This window comes from Homo sapiens, chromosome 13, assembly GCF_000001405.40.
Source record: "Homo sapiens chromosome 13, GRCh38.p14 Primary Assembly".
Lineage (NCBI taxonomy): Eukaryota > Metazoa > Chordata > Mammalia > Primates > Hominidae > Homo > Homo sapiens.
In genome coordinates, this window is record NC_000013.11 from 114198288 (window position 1) to 114213161 (window position 14874).

General features: G+C 48.5%; 1 protein-coding gene across 5 annotated transcripts in view; it reads left to right on the forward strand.

Annotated features, from left to right (window-relative positions):
- CFAP97D2 (CFAP97 domain containing 2) overlaps positions 1–14874 on the forward strand; it is a 43829-nt gene that overhangs the window by 19031 nt on the left and 9924 nt on the right. For 2 of the 5 annotated variants that reach the window (NM_001437370.1, XM_047430025.1), the window contains exons 3-4: positions 2038–2156; positions 13625–13814. In NM_001437370.1, the coding sequence (NP_001424299.1) occupies positions 2038–2156; positions 13625–13814 (309 nt within the window). Of the gene's footprint in view, positions 1–2037; positions 2157–10426; positions 11904–13624; positions 13815–14874 lie in introns of those variants that run through there. The other 3 variants (NM_001395230.1, NM_001395229.1, XM_047430026.1) reach the window with 2 other exon arrangements.

The following is a 14874-nucleotide window of genomic DNA, read 5'->3' on the forward strand; positions in this document are numbered from 1 at the left end:
AGGCTGTGGGCTTTATATGAGCCTGTTAAGCAGTGGTGTTAAAATGGGCTGAACTGAAGCCGAGTAACCAGTCTCCAGCATATCTGCAGACCGACCACTTGGAAGCCTAAAACAAGAGGCAGATTCTTTTCCTCTGGGCTCAAATATTCTCTTCTTATAACTGAATAAAATATCTCTATCTTTCTTAAAATATAAAAAAGATTTCCTCATTAGCACCACCGCCACATGTTACTTTTGGAGGGTCACCTAATTTTACAAGATAGTGCCTCGCCTCAGTGTTACTCTCACTTACTCCACCCAATGCGTTCCAATCCATGGGCAAAGCAGCTGGTGGTCCCCGCTGAGGGGTGACGGCGCGTCCCCGTGTTTACGGTCCCCGCTGAGGCGTGACAGTGGGTCCCCGTGCGTACGGTCCCCGCTGAGGGGTGACGGCGCGTCCCCGTGTGTACAGTCCCCGCTGAGGGGTGACGGCGCGTCCCCGTGCTTACGGTCCCTGCTGAGGCGTGACAGTGGGTCCCCGTGTGTACGGTCCCCGCTGAGGCGTGACAGCGCGTCCCCGTGTGTACGGTCCCCGCTGAGGGGTGACGGCGCGTCCCCGTGTGTACGGTCCCCACCGAGGGGTGACGGCGCGTCCCCGTGTGTACGGTCCCCGCTGAGGTGTGATGGCGCGTCCCCGTGGGTACGGTCCCCACTGAGGCGTGACAGCGCGTCCCCGTGTGTACGGTCCCCGCCGAGGGGTGACGGCGCGTCCCCGTGGGTACGGTCCCCGCTGAGGCGTGACGGCGCGTCCCCGTGTGTACGGTCCCCGCTGAGGCGTGACGGCGCGTCCCCGTGGGTACGGTCCCCACTGAGGCGTGACGGCGCGTCCCCGTGTGTACGGTCCCCGCCGAGGCGTGACGGCGCGTCCCCGTGTGTACGGTCCCCGCCGAGGCGTGACGGCGCGTCCCCGTGGGTACGGTCCCCACTGAGGCGTGACGGCGCTTCCCCGTGGGTACGGTCCCCGCCGAGGCGTGACGGCGCGTCCCCGTGGGTACGGTCCCCACTGAGGCGTGACGGCGCGTCCCCGTGGGTACGGTCCCCGCCGAGGCGTGACGGCGCGTCCCCGTGGGTACGGTCCCCGCCGAGGCGTGACGGCGCGTCCCCGTGGGTACGGTCCCCACTGAGGCGTGACGGCGCTTCCCCGTGGGTACGGTCCCCGCCGAGGCGTGACGGCGCGTCCCCGTGGGTACGGTCCCCACTGAGGCGTGACGGCGCGTCCCCGTGTGTACGGTCCCCGCCGAGGCGTGACGGCGCGTCCCCGTGCTTACGGTCCCCGCTGAGGCGTGACGGCGCGTCCCCGTGCGTACGGTCCCCGCCGAGGCGTGACGGCGCGTCCCCGTGCTTACGGTCCCCGCTGAGGCGTGACGGCGCGTCCCCGTGCGTACGGTCCCCGCTGAGGGGTGACGGCGCGTCCCCGTGCGTACGGTCCCCGCTGAGGGGTGACGGCGCGTCCCCGTGCGTACGGTCCCCGCTGAGGCGTGACGGCGCGTCCCCGTGCGTACGGTCCCCGATGAGGGGTGACGGCGCGTCCCCGTGCTTACGGTCCCCGATGAGGCGTGACGGCGCGTCCCCGTGCTTACGGTCCCCGATGAGGCGTGACGGCGCGTCCCCGTGCTTACGGTCCCCGATGAGGCGTGACGGCGCGTCCCCGTGCTTACGGTCCCCGATGAGGCGTGACGGCGCGTCCCTGTGCTTACGGTCCCCGATGAGGGGTGACAGTGGGTCCCTGTGTGTTCGGTCCCCGCTTAGGGGTGACGGCGTGTCCCCGTGCTTACGGTCCCCGCTGAGGCGTAACAGGGCGTCCCCTCGCGTACGGTCCCTGCTGAGGCGTGACAGTGGGTCCCTGTGTGTTCGGTCCCCGCTGAGGCGTGATGGCGCACTCGCCGATATGAGACGAGGCAGCGTAAAACTCCCAGGGCACTCAAGTCACAGAAACGTGGCGTGAGGAAGAGCCTCGCAATCTGCCGGCGCTCCTCCAGCCTCCTTCTCTGTCCCCAGCTGGAGGAGGAACGGCTCTCCGTCATCGAGAGGGACAACCGCCTGCTCCTGGAGAAGGTGGCCTCTGTCATGAGGACCAGGGGACAGACTGACAGCAAAAACAACTCCAAGCACAGGAGGTAAGGGAGCGGCTCCTGCCATCCCACCCGGCTCAGCACCAAACCCGAGTGCTGGGAAGGGGTTGGGGATGAGCAGAAGAGCTGCCCGTGGGTGGGAGTCGAGGCGTTTCTGTCCTCTCCCGAAAACAGCCACAGCTCTGAGGAGTGCCCTTTTCCTTGGCGGATTGTGATTCCAAGTTTTACTTGAGACTCCTAGGCTGTTTCCGCAACCCACAACTAAATCACAGTTAGCGGCTGTGAGCTGCCCGTGTGCCAGACACTCCTCTGAACCTGCTAAGCGCTTGACTCAGAACCCTCACAGGACCCCGTGTGGTACGGGCTCTTGTGCACCTCACAGGACAGTAGGAAACGGAGGCACTGGGAGGTGGCAGAACTTGGCCAAGGTTGCAGTTCGGCGGCGGAGGAACACAGGCTGTACCCCAGCCCTGCTCATGCAGTTCTCAAAGGTGTCAAGTTACCAAAAGCAGCAAAAGGTTTTGTTTCTCTGTCAGCAGACCACTAGGTCCAGCATCTTTCTGGAAAAAACACCGAAAATCATGTACCCCTGCATCCTGTGTGGGTCCCAGCCTGGGATACTGGTACTGCTCTTTCATAACCTCACTTTTCACCCAGAAGTGGAGTTCTGCCCTCTGTGAAAATGAATATCAGCAGGCTTTCATACTCCTTAAAATCACCTTATAAATGCTTGACTGTGAATCCTAAAAGCCTCTCTTGTCTAAGGTCAATAACCTCTGCCCCCTGCATCTTACACATCCTAGAGTAACCTCATAGTTACACCATGGCCCTTTCCCTGTAAGTGCAAGATTTTGATGGTGATTGTGATAGTTAATTCTAATGAAGGGGTTTTTGTTCCGGAAGTGCTTGAACCTTTTAAGACTTTTGGCCTGTACCTATCCCCAAGAAGCTTATAGTAGTTTCAGATTTCATAATAAATTAAAATATAATTGATCCTCAGGTACCTCGAGGTGTGTGATACAGGAAGATTGCAGGCCCAGCAGGGTGCACCACTGGGAAGGTGCTGCTCCAAGCTCAGGCGGGCCCTGCATGGTCCTGTGTGCTGGCTTTGTTCAAAGGCCCAACTGGAGCAAACCTGCCTCAGAGATGATTTACTGTGGGCTTCCAGGGCTTCAAGGGAAGCCATGGGAAAGTCAACCATTTTTCTCAAGAATGCATCAGTTTGGGGCTTGATAACTGGCTATTTCATGTCTCAGTTGACTCCATTCTTTAACAAAGGACACTTGCCGAGTTAATGCACAATGCTGGAGAGAAACAGTTCGTTTTCAGGGGAGTCTCAGCTGCTTCTGGAGCACTGCAGACCAGTTGGTTGATGGAATAAACATATCTAGCTAGCTGGTCAGCCAGTAGCACAAATCAACATGAGAGAAACTATAGAGCCAACAATTGGACTTTCACTCCTGATTTCATTTTTCATGTCTTTATTCAGATGTGATTGGCATACAGTAAACACATATTCAAAGTGTATGTGATAGGTTTGTCATATGATACACCCATGACACCAGCACCCCAGTCAAGACAGTAAACATATTCATCACTCCCCAGGTTTCCCTGAGCCTTTCGGTCCCCCTACCCACCACCCTCTGCCCATCGAAGGTTCCCTATGGGTGCCTTTGCACTTTCTGGATTTTATGTGTATAGGTTCATCAAGTATCTGCGTTTTGTCTGCCTTTCAGTTAGCATAACGTTGAGTAGTGTTCCATCGTACGGATCTATCACAATGTGTTTATCCATTCACCTGTTGATGAGCATTTGGGTGGTTTCCAGTTTTGGGCTATTACAAATAAGGCTGCAATCAGAGTTTATGTAAAAAGAAATTCAGAGATGAATACCTCTGCCCAAGACTGAAAACTCAATGACAAATGGATTTCAAGTGGGATCCACATGAGAGACCCCCAGAATGACCGCATGAGGAGCTCTCTCAACCCACTCCCCAGCAAAACTTTTGAAAATGGTTAAAACACAGTCATTTAGAGTCTCTGCTGTATGGTCCTAAGAAGAAACATATATTCAAGAAAAGCTACTGTAATTTGACAAGAACAGCAAATGTCCCTGGTATATGAGCTAAAACCTGCTGTCTCCCCACTGCTTCCAGCTCAGCAATGCAGATGCACACCAGAAGCTGCAGCCAAGTGCATGGGCTCTGCTCCCCACAGCTCCTAGTCGAAGGGCCTTCTTCCTGGAAGGGGCAGGGCCTTACTTTTCTCATCTTGTCTGCAGTTGCCTGTTGCTGAGACTAAATCCCAGGTGAGTGTGGCCCCACGCTGGAGATGCTCTTGTTCTGCCCATTTCCTGTTTGTGGAGTGGATGCTTAGCCTGCAGCCTTGGGAATGGTGATCCTAAGACTACAGGAGCCAAGATCCCCTTGGTCTGGTTCATAGGCATTGGTTCCATGCTGGGAGAGTCACGCCGAGAAGACCTGTGTGTCCCTCCAACACACACACACAGTGGAGCACAGAGCCTGGGGTGTCACTCAGAGAGAAGATCGCCATTGTTCCCACTCCGAGCTCCAGGGCTCTGAGATTTTGCCCAGAGGAAGAAGCAGACCCTCGTAACAGCTCCCATTCTCTTCCCAAAGGGATGGTTTAATTTGCAACAGAATTTAGAAAAGTGCAAGCCTCACTGGACATGAAAATAAAAGACATCGAAATTGGGAAGGAAGAAGCAAACTATTTCTATTCACAGATGATATGATCTTGCATATAGAAAATCTTAAGGAATGCACTAAAAAGCTGTAGAACTAATCCACAAGTTCAACAAGGTTGCAGAATACAAGATCAATACACAAAAATCAATTGTGTTTTTATATACTTGCAATGAGCAATCTGAAGAGGAAACTAAGAAAACAATTCCATACTCAAAAGTATCAAAAGAATAGGTACTTAGGAATAAACAAAGGAAGTACAAAATTTATACTCCAAAAACTACAAACCGTCATCCACAAAAATTGAAGATCTAAATAAATGGAAAAATATCCCACGTGTATGGATTCAGAAGTCTTGCTATATTAAGATGGCAATATACAAACTATTGCAGAATTTTGCTCCTTAGTTCAGCTGAAACTGGGTACTTGTCACATGACCAGGAAAATCTAGGCACACGAACACATTGAAGGGTGAGTAGAGCAGGATTTTCTTGGGTGACAAGGGAAAAAAAGAAAAGAAAAAGAAAACTCAGCAAAGTGAGATGGAGTCCTGCTAACAGGCTCCCACCTCACAAATGGAATCCCAGGCCACCACACAGGAACTGAAGAGGCCAGGCTCCTCCCCTGCCCGTGGCTTCACCCGTTTCCCCAGTGCGCATGTGGGCATGTGCAGACAAGGCCCTGGGCAGGTTCCCTCATCTGCACAAAAGCATCTGGTGTAAACACTTGTCAGATGGGGCAGAGATTCTGGGCATTTGGCTGTCTCAAACCCAATCTACAAATTCAATACAATCCCAATTAGAACTCCAGCCAACTTCTCTGTAGAAATTGACCCACTGGTTCTAAAATTTGATGGATTGTTTTAGTCAAAACAATCCTGAAAAAGAAGATCAAAGTAGTAGGACTCATGTGTCCTTATTGTTGCTGGGGAGCAATGGCTATCTCAGCCAGTGGCATGGGGGTAATGAATTTACCAAGACAGTTGTAGGTAAAGAAAGGCAGATTTATGAGAGAAAGTAGGAAAATACATTTCGAGGAGGCAGCGGGCAGCCCACAGGAGAGAGGCTGACTATGAGGAGACCAAGGCTTGCTGGGGATTTTATAGGGTGGCATTTATGCTGAAGAGGGCTTTGTGCAGTACCAATAACACCAAAGCTACAGTGAGCTAACTTGCAGGTGTCTGGTAATAGCTCGGCACAGGAAAATTGTGAGCTGTTTGCGCAGGAGGGCTGCGTGTTCTGGACCATGAAGAAAGGCAGACTTGTCGCTTACCTGCTTTATCTCTTTGCTTTCCCTTGGTCCCACCAGCTTGACTCCTCTTTCCTAATTAGGACTCCACACCTATTTCAAACTTACTAAGAAAGCTATAGTAATCAAGATAGTATTACACTGGCATTAAGATAGACATATAAATCAATGGGAGTCCATGTGTCTATAATCAATGTATTTTCAACAAAGGGGCCAAGACCATTCAGTGAGGAAAGAATAGTCTTTCCACAAATGCTGAGACAACTCTATCGCCACATGCAAAAGAATGAAGTTGGACTCTCACCTCACACCATATAGAAGAATTAATCAAAAACGGATCAAAGGCCTAAATGTAAGAACTAAAACCATAAAACTCTTAGAAGAAAACAGTGGGAAATCATCGTGACTTCAGATTTGGCAATGGAGTCTAAGATATGGCACCAAAAGCAGGAATGACAAACAAGAAGATACATAAACTGGACTTAATGAAAATTAACAACTTTTGTGCATCAAAGGACACTATCAAGAAAGTAAAAAAAACCCACAGAATGGGAGAAAATATTTGCAAATCAGATACGATTAGGGACTTGCATCTAGAATACATGAAGACCTCTCACAGTTCAGTGATAAAGACAATGACCTCATTAAAAGATGGGCAGAAGATCTGAATAGACATTTCTCCAAGGAAGACATACAGATGATTAATAAGCACATGAAAAGATACTTAGCATCATTCATCATCAAGGAAATGCAAATCGAAACCACAACGTGATAGCACTTCACGCCTATCAGATTGACTGGAATCAAAATGACAGATAAGAAGGAGTGTTGGTGACCATGTGGGGAAATTGGAACCCTCCAGGGCTGGGAGGAATGGTGCAGCCACTTGGGAAAACAGTCCAGAAGTTCCTCAAGTGATTAAACATATTTTAATAAATATATGGGGATTAAATATATTTACCATATAACCAATTTCACTCCCAAGTATATAACCAAGAGAAATGAAAACATGTCTACACGAAAACATATACAATTGATTTTTGTGTATTGATCTTATATTCTGCAACCTTGTTGAACTTGTGGATTAGTTCTACAGCTTTTTAGTGCATTCCTTAAGATTTTCTATATGCAAGATCATATCATCTGTGAATAGAAATAGTTTGCTTCTTCTTTCCCAATTTGGATGTCTTTTATTTTCATGTTCAGTGAGGGTTGAACTTCTCTAAATTCTGTTGCAAGTGAAACAGCATTTAGAACAGCTCGTCCCTTTGGGAAGAGCTGGGAGTGGAGACAATGGCAATCTTCTCTCTGAGTGACACCCCAGGCTCTTTGCTTCATTGTGTGTATGTTGTGGGGACACACAGGTCTTCTGGGCTTGCCTCTCCCATCTTGGAACCAATGCCTGTGAACCAGCCCAAGGGGATCCGGGCTCCTGTATTCTTAGAAGCACAATTTCCAAGGCTCTAGGCTGATCCTCCATTCCATAAACAGGGGCTGGGCAGAACAATGCCACACTCACCTGGGACTTAGTCTCAGCAACAGGCAGTTGAGGACAAGAGGAGAAAAGCTGAGGCCCTGCCTCTTCCAGGAAGGAGGCCCTTCGACTAGAAGCTATGGGGAGTAGAGCCTGTGTGCCTGGCTGCAGCCTCTGGAGTGCAGTCTGCATTGCCGAGCTGGGAACAGCAGGGAAAGAGCAGGTTTCAGCTCAAATGCCAGAGACATTTGCCAAATTACAGTAGCTTTTTTTCTTTTCCTTTTTTTTTTTTTTTTTGAGACAAAGTCTTGCTTTGTTGCCCAGGCTGGAGTGCAGTGGCACAATCTCGGCTCACTGCAACCTCCACCTCCCAGTTCAAGTGATTCTCCTGCCTCAGCCTCCCGAGTAGCTGGGATTACAGGCGCGTGCCACCACACCTGGCTAATTTTTGTATCTTTAGTAGAGACAGGGTTTCGCCATGTTGGCCAGGCTGGTCTTGAACTCTTGACCTCAGATGATCTGCCCACCTCAGCCTCCCAAAGTGCTGGGATTACAGGCGTGAGCCACCGCTCCTGGCCAGTAGCTTTTTTTAAATAAATGTTTCTTCTTAGGACCATACAGCGGAGACTTTGAACCCTAACCCTAACCATATAATGGAATATTGCCCAGCTATGAAATGGAATAAAGTATTGACACGGGCTACAACATGGATGAACTTTGAAAACATGCTAAGTGAAAGAAGGCAGTCACAAAAGACCACATATTAGACGATTCCACGTATATGAAACAAATCTATAGAAACAGAAAGTAGATCAGTGGTTGCTTAAGGCAAGGGTATGGAGGGGTAGCAAGATGATAAAGGGTCCAGGGCTCCCTAAGGAAGTGATGAAAATCTTCTCAACTGACTGTTGAGGACTGTGGGCGTCTCCCCATTGAACTGCACACGATAAATGAGTGACTTGTATGGTATGTGAACTGTATCTCAAGGAAGAATCTCACTGCTTTTGGGGGCTTCTAAGACCCACAGCCCATTCACCAAACCTACTGCAAATGGCAAGGGACCAGGGTCACTGGATTCTGGCCTTCTCTGGTCAGCTGGATGTGTATGGATGCTCCTGTATGGGATCAGGGAGGAGTTCTTGCCTTAAAGGGACAGGCATTGAAATGCCAACAAAAAGGGACCCCTCCCAGACCCAGTGCAATTCCTGAGGGGATAAAAGAAAGAAGCTGTGGCCCTGGCACAGGCTGCCAAGCATCACCACCGCATGGCAGCAGTGTCCCCGCATCCACCTGGTGTGGGCAAGGCACAAGCTCAGCCTGAGCCCCATCTGCTCCCCTGCCGCTGCAAGGGCAGCACCATGCAGGGCACACAGAAAGTCCTCAGGGCTCGCAAACCAGAAAGTATCTAGACAGGTCTCAAACAATCTAGGGGTTTATTTGCCACCATTGAGGACGCTACTGGGATACGGCATGGACAGCGAGGGGAGGGGTCCCGTTCTTGTGAAGCTTGATATTACATTGTAATATAGAATGAAGTAATTATACAACTCAACATCATGTAGAATCAGTGGGAGCCCTGAGTTTGTTTTCCTGCAACTAGATGGTCCCATCTAGGGATCGTGTGGAGACAGTGACAGATCATCAGGCATTAGATTTTCATAAGGAACACGCAGCTTAGATCTCTCGAACGTGCAGTTCACAATAGGGTTCACACTCCTATGACAATCTAATGGCACTGCTGATCTGACAGGAGGTGGAGCTCAGGCAGTAATGCCAGCAATGGGGAGTGGCTGTGAATACAGATGAAGCTTCGCTCCCTCGCCTGCTGCTCACCTCCTGCTGTTTGGCCTGGTTCCTAACAGGCCACAGACTGGTATGGGTCCATGGCCCGGGGGTTGGGGACCTCTGCCTTATAGGGAAAACTGATTAGATCATTGTTCTTTGCTTGTAAATGTTCTCATGTAGCCAACTAGACTTTGTCACCACCACCATTTTTTTCCCTAGAGAGGCTATGTGGTGGCTTTTAATCCCATTTTGGCTCTACAACTCAGGTCCAAAATATGTCCCATGCTCTTCCTCTAAGAGAAGACATTGGCCAGAAAGCAAGGAGAAGCTGTATCCAGAAAGTAAAGAATCTGTAATCAATGCATCTCCTTGGGTCACTCGGCAGTTTCAACATTCCATGGAGCTGGTAAGATCTGTGAGCCAGGCTCTTGGTGGGACCTCAGCTCACTCTGCCGTCTCTCCCAGCTTTAGACCTGGGCTTCACGACTTCTAGCTGTGTGACCTTGGACAAATTGTCAGGTTCTCTGCTCCTTGGTTTCCCCATGTATAAAATAGGAACTCCTGTGCCTTTCTTGTAGGCTTGTCATGAGAATGAAATGAGTTAATACATGCAAATGCTTAGTGCTCAGCACTCAATAAAAGTCAGCCAATATCGTTGTTGCTATTAGCTTCTTCATATTTCAAATACGGATTTCTTTAACTTTTTCGTGCCACGACCTGCTTTGGAAGAATGGTGACGTCATAGACTCCTGAAAGCAGTGTGCTTAAATGAATAGAATAAAATCCACACAATTTGACAGGCAGCCAATTATATTGAAGCACGTTATCAAAATAATTCTTTAACCATGACAAAATAATTCATGTGCTTATTTATTACCATATTAAATAACAGAACCCTGCAGCAGGCCCTATAGCCACCAAAATTCACCTAAGTGATAAGTATGAATAATGTTCCAAAAATAAGCACCAACTGTAATATCTGAAGTTTCTCTTGGTGATAAAGTCATAGGTTACCGTGTTTGTTGCCTCCAATTATAATGGAAGAAAATGCTGAATTACAGCTAAAAACTGGTGAAAATATGACGCAATTGCTTTCCTATCCAGGTTCATGGATGCCTGAATTCTATCCATGGTTTTCTGGACTATGTGCCAAATCTCCCAGCCCATGTCTCTAGGATTTGGCTCTGGCTGGGACGACTTTGGGAACCTTGCTATGTGTCCAGTTTTCTATACAGAAGCCTGGACAAGAACCCCTTCCTTTGGGCTGCCAGAAACCACAAGATGCGAGTTCTCCCTGCCGCCTCCAATATGAATAAGCAGGTCCACAACCAAAGACAGCCTCATCCCTCAGAGAATTAAATAGGACCCCTTTGGTTTTTGGATATAGAAGGTGATTTTTAAAGCCTGGAGGAGAATTTGGCTAAATGAAAATTTAGGGAGGAAGGAAGACAAATGAAGCCAGCTACCGATTACTCATGAAAAGAAAAGAGAAGAAAGCAAGCAAGGATAATCCACAAAGAATGGATAATAGAGAAACATTCCCTTTCTGCTGCCGTGAGGACCACAGTGAAACAGGAGCTCGCTTGCCACTGCCATCTGGGCACCATCCCGCTGTCCGCATCCAACACAGCTAATTTGCTCCAGTGAAACTTCAAGTAGCCAAAGTCATCATTTAAGCACAGTAAAAGAAAGAGAAGACTTAATTGGATGACATCAATTTGCACAATAACACGAGTAGGTGGTCTCATAGAAGACCAGATAATAAAGTGAACAGGTCTGCCTGGAATAATAACAAAGGTGTCAGTTAAAACGATGTCTCAAGTACAACACCTTTCTCCTCCGTGTCTCAGGGGCCCTTCCTGGTATGTGAAAAGAAATCTAGAGTGTTCGTGTAGGCCTAGCTCTTACTCAGCTTTCAGCCTTCACCTAAATGTCACATGGAGAGGAAGGTCCTGATGGTCTAGAGGAAGGAAGGTCTAGAGGAAGGTCCTGATGCCCACCAGTGTGGCGCTCATTCTGTGCTCGTTCTGGCTCCACCGTTGTGTCTTCCTTTACCACGGGCACCACAGTTGTCATCCAAGCAGCCAAAGTCATCATTTAAGCACGGTAAAAGAAAGCACAGTCACTTACTTGTGTGTTGACCTGTCTACTGTCTGTCTTCCCACTGAATCTCAAGCCTTATGATTCCAGGGACTTTGTCTCTTTTGTTTATCATTGTAGACTCAATGCCCAGGCCAATGCTCGGCACATAGTAGGTACTCAGTAAATATTTGTTGAATGACTGAACAATCAAATGAGGTCACCAGTGACTTCCCAGTTGCTCAATTTATTGAATTGTTTCCTTTTAAAGTTTAAAAAATAATGTTTTTATTGTTCCTGATTATAACATAATACATATTTATGGATACCAAGAAGAAATTTAACTATCATTTCATCACCCAGAGAGAATACTTTTTGTATATTTTCTGCATTTTGTATATTTTTGTATATTTTCTGCATTTCCAAATATATAATAGAGTTATATTTTTGTGCACATATATGTATTAAGTATAATTAAAATTGTACCTTATATGTGATCTTATATCCTGGCTTAAGACTTTTTACATCTCATTGAAACTTTTGAACACCACTTCAATGGGTTCATCACTTTCTTAATCAGTTCCATATTATTAAAAATTAATTCAGAATTTTCACTATTATCAGTGATGCTGAAAGGGACACTTTTATGCATTAATTTCATGTGGACTCTTCCATCCTACTCTTTTTATGTTGAGTGACTTTGCTGATTTTGACCCACTGTATTTGACCCTCATAAAATGTCAGTTTAGTTTGATCCGATCTAACCCTTGACCTTTCTGCAGCTTTTAACATTAGCATCCTTGCCCCTCCTGGTTGTAATTCACTCCTGACTTTCTGCACTTCCTACCTCCCTCACTGTTTTCTTCTGCCCTATTTTCTTCTGCTCCCGTGGCTCAGCCTTTGGCTGCCTCCCTGCCTGTCTGTCCTCCATGGGCAACGTTGCCCAGCACCACTTCGATGCTGCAGATTTGATTGCAGATCCAGGTCTTCAGCCCTGTTGTCACTCCTGAGCACCAGCCTACCAGATGGTTCCACCCAAATGTTCCACCCCAGCTCAAGCCCAGCTCCAGCCCCACCTTGGATGGCTTCAGCCTCCACCAGGCTGCCAACAGTGCCTCCCTCTCAGGTCACTCCCAGGGTTAAATGAGAGAAGCACATTTCATTGATACACACACACACACACACACACACACACACACACACTTTAATGGCTCTGAGATGGAGATGCATCTTGCAGCACATGGTGTGCTATGGTTTTCCAAAACAACAGATGCAATCTGTCACCAATGAAATGAAATATGCACAGGACAGTGCCTGGCACAGAGGAAGTGCCCAACAAGTCTCCAGAGGGTGATGGTGAACTTCCAGGAGGAGGCCACCAACCATCCACCATTATTCCCTGCTTCCACAAATCTCCCTAGTTCACCAAACTCTCAGCCCTAACCCTGGTGGGTTCTTTACTTCGTGCTCCTCTGTGCTCCACAGCCAGGGTCAAACCCCTACTCTAGGCGCTTCCGCAGCCCCCCATGGCTCCCTCTCCATCCAATGCAGCCTCCTGAACAGGTTTCACCGGTCCCATCTCACCACTGCAGTGGGCTGGCATCGATGCCCCTCCCTCCCACTTCATGCTCCCCAGTCCAGCCCCAGCCTGTCCACAGGGGTCTTTCTCAAGTGCCTGCGGAGTCTGGTTTGAAGCCATTCAGTGGCTCCACACTGTCTTCCACATGTGCCAGACTCTGTGCACTGCTAGACCCTCCAAAATCCAACCCCTGCCAACCTCCCTCACCTCTCTCCCATGGGCGCCTGGGTGCTTGCCCTCCCCGCCTGGGACCCTGCTCTCCGCCATGGGTGCCCGGGTGCTCGCCCTCCCTGCCTGGGACCCCACTCTCTCCCACTCATCTTGTCCAGCATCTGCTCTGCTGACCACGCTCAGGAAGCACCGGGAGACTTCCCCGCTGTGCCCCATTGTGCTCACCCTGAAAACGCCCCTCCCGCCGTGCAAAGCGAGCGCGCCGGGGCTGAGTGTGCCCTTCGCTCCTCTCTGAGCCAGCAGCTCCCACTCCAGCACCTGGAGAACCGGTTTCTTAAATGTTGGTTCAGTGGGAAGCAGGAGCAACCCTCCACCCCGGGACCCCTTCCTGCTCTGGAGCCTGTTGGCCCTGTGGAGGGAATGGCAGCCTTAATAAAATCCAAATTTCAAAATGTGTGTGCTCTTTCGTGGAGTCTGCACAGGGGGAAGAGAGAACAGGAACTTCGCAGAGTGCGGAAGAAAACACGGCCATTCTGGAAGGAATCACACACTCAGAACCATGGTATGGAGCTCAAAGGTGGTGTGAAGACTGGGGCAGGGCTGAGAAGTCCCGGGTGCTGGTGTGGAATCTCCCTGGAGACAGCAGATACGCCTAGCAAAAAGGTACCCGCACCTTCTTTTTCATCTAAAATCCATAGCTATTTGAAATTTCCCGTTTTACTTCATCAGATTCATCAGAATTATGTACTCACTCATTCTTTGCCGTATTAGAGCATTTTGTTCAATTGTCAGCAAGGATATGTCAAATGGTCACATCCTGTAACAGGAGATGCAAAACAGTCACTCAGCTGATGACCTCACCCACCACGCATTTGTTCACGAAGTTGAGGAAATTAAAATAAGCTCAGCTGATTGATTGTAGATTGTGAGAGAAAGATTTGGTGAAAATAACTTAGCCAGATAGTATGCATACAACATCATTAACATCAGGTTGGCCAGGCGCAGTGGCTCACGTCTATAACCCCCAGCACTTTGGGAGGCTGAGGTAGGAGCATCGCTTGAGCTGAGGAGTTCGAGACCAGCCTGGGAAACATAGTGAGCCACTGTCTCTATTAAAAAAAGAAAAAGAGGCAGGGCATGGTGGCTCATGCCTATAATCCCAGCACTTTGGGAGGCCAAGGCGGGTGGATAACGATGTCAGGAGATGGAGACCATCCTGGCTAACACAGTGAAACCCTGTCTCTACTAAAAAAAATACAAAAAATTAGCCAAGTATGGTGGCACAAAATTGCAATCCCAGCTACTCGGGAGGCTGAGGCAGGAGAATCACTTGAACCCAGGAGACGGAGGTTGCAGTGAGCCGAGATCTTGCCACTGCACTCCAGCCTGGGCAACAGATCGAGACTCCGTCTCAAAATAAATAAAATAAAAATTAAAAAGAAAAGGAAAAAAGAAAAAAAGAAATCATGTGATGATCCTGAATTAGCTGTCCCACAGAATCCAAAATGGAAAGAGTTAAAAATTTGAGTTTGTCCCACAATTTAAGTTCTAAACTCTCTTCATTTTATTCAAATTGACAAAATTGTAATTGTAAAGGAAGAACCATGAGATTTAAATTTTGTCATTAATATACTGCTTATAAATATCCCCAATAAATCAAATTAATTAAAGAGTTTTAAAGATCTTCCATCACTCGCTTTACCTGTATATATAACCGTTATAT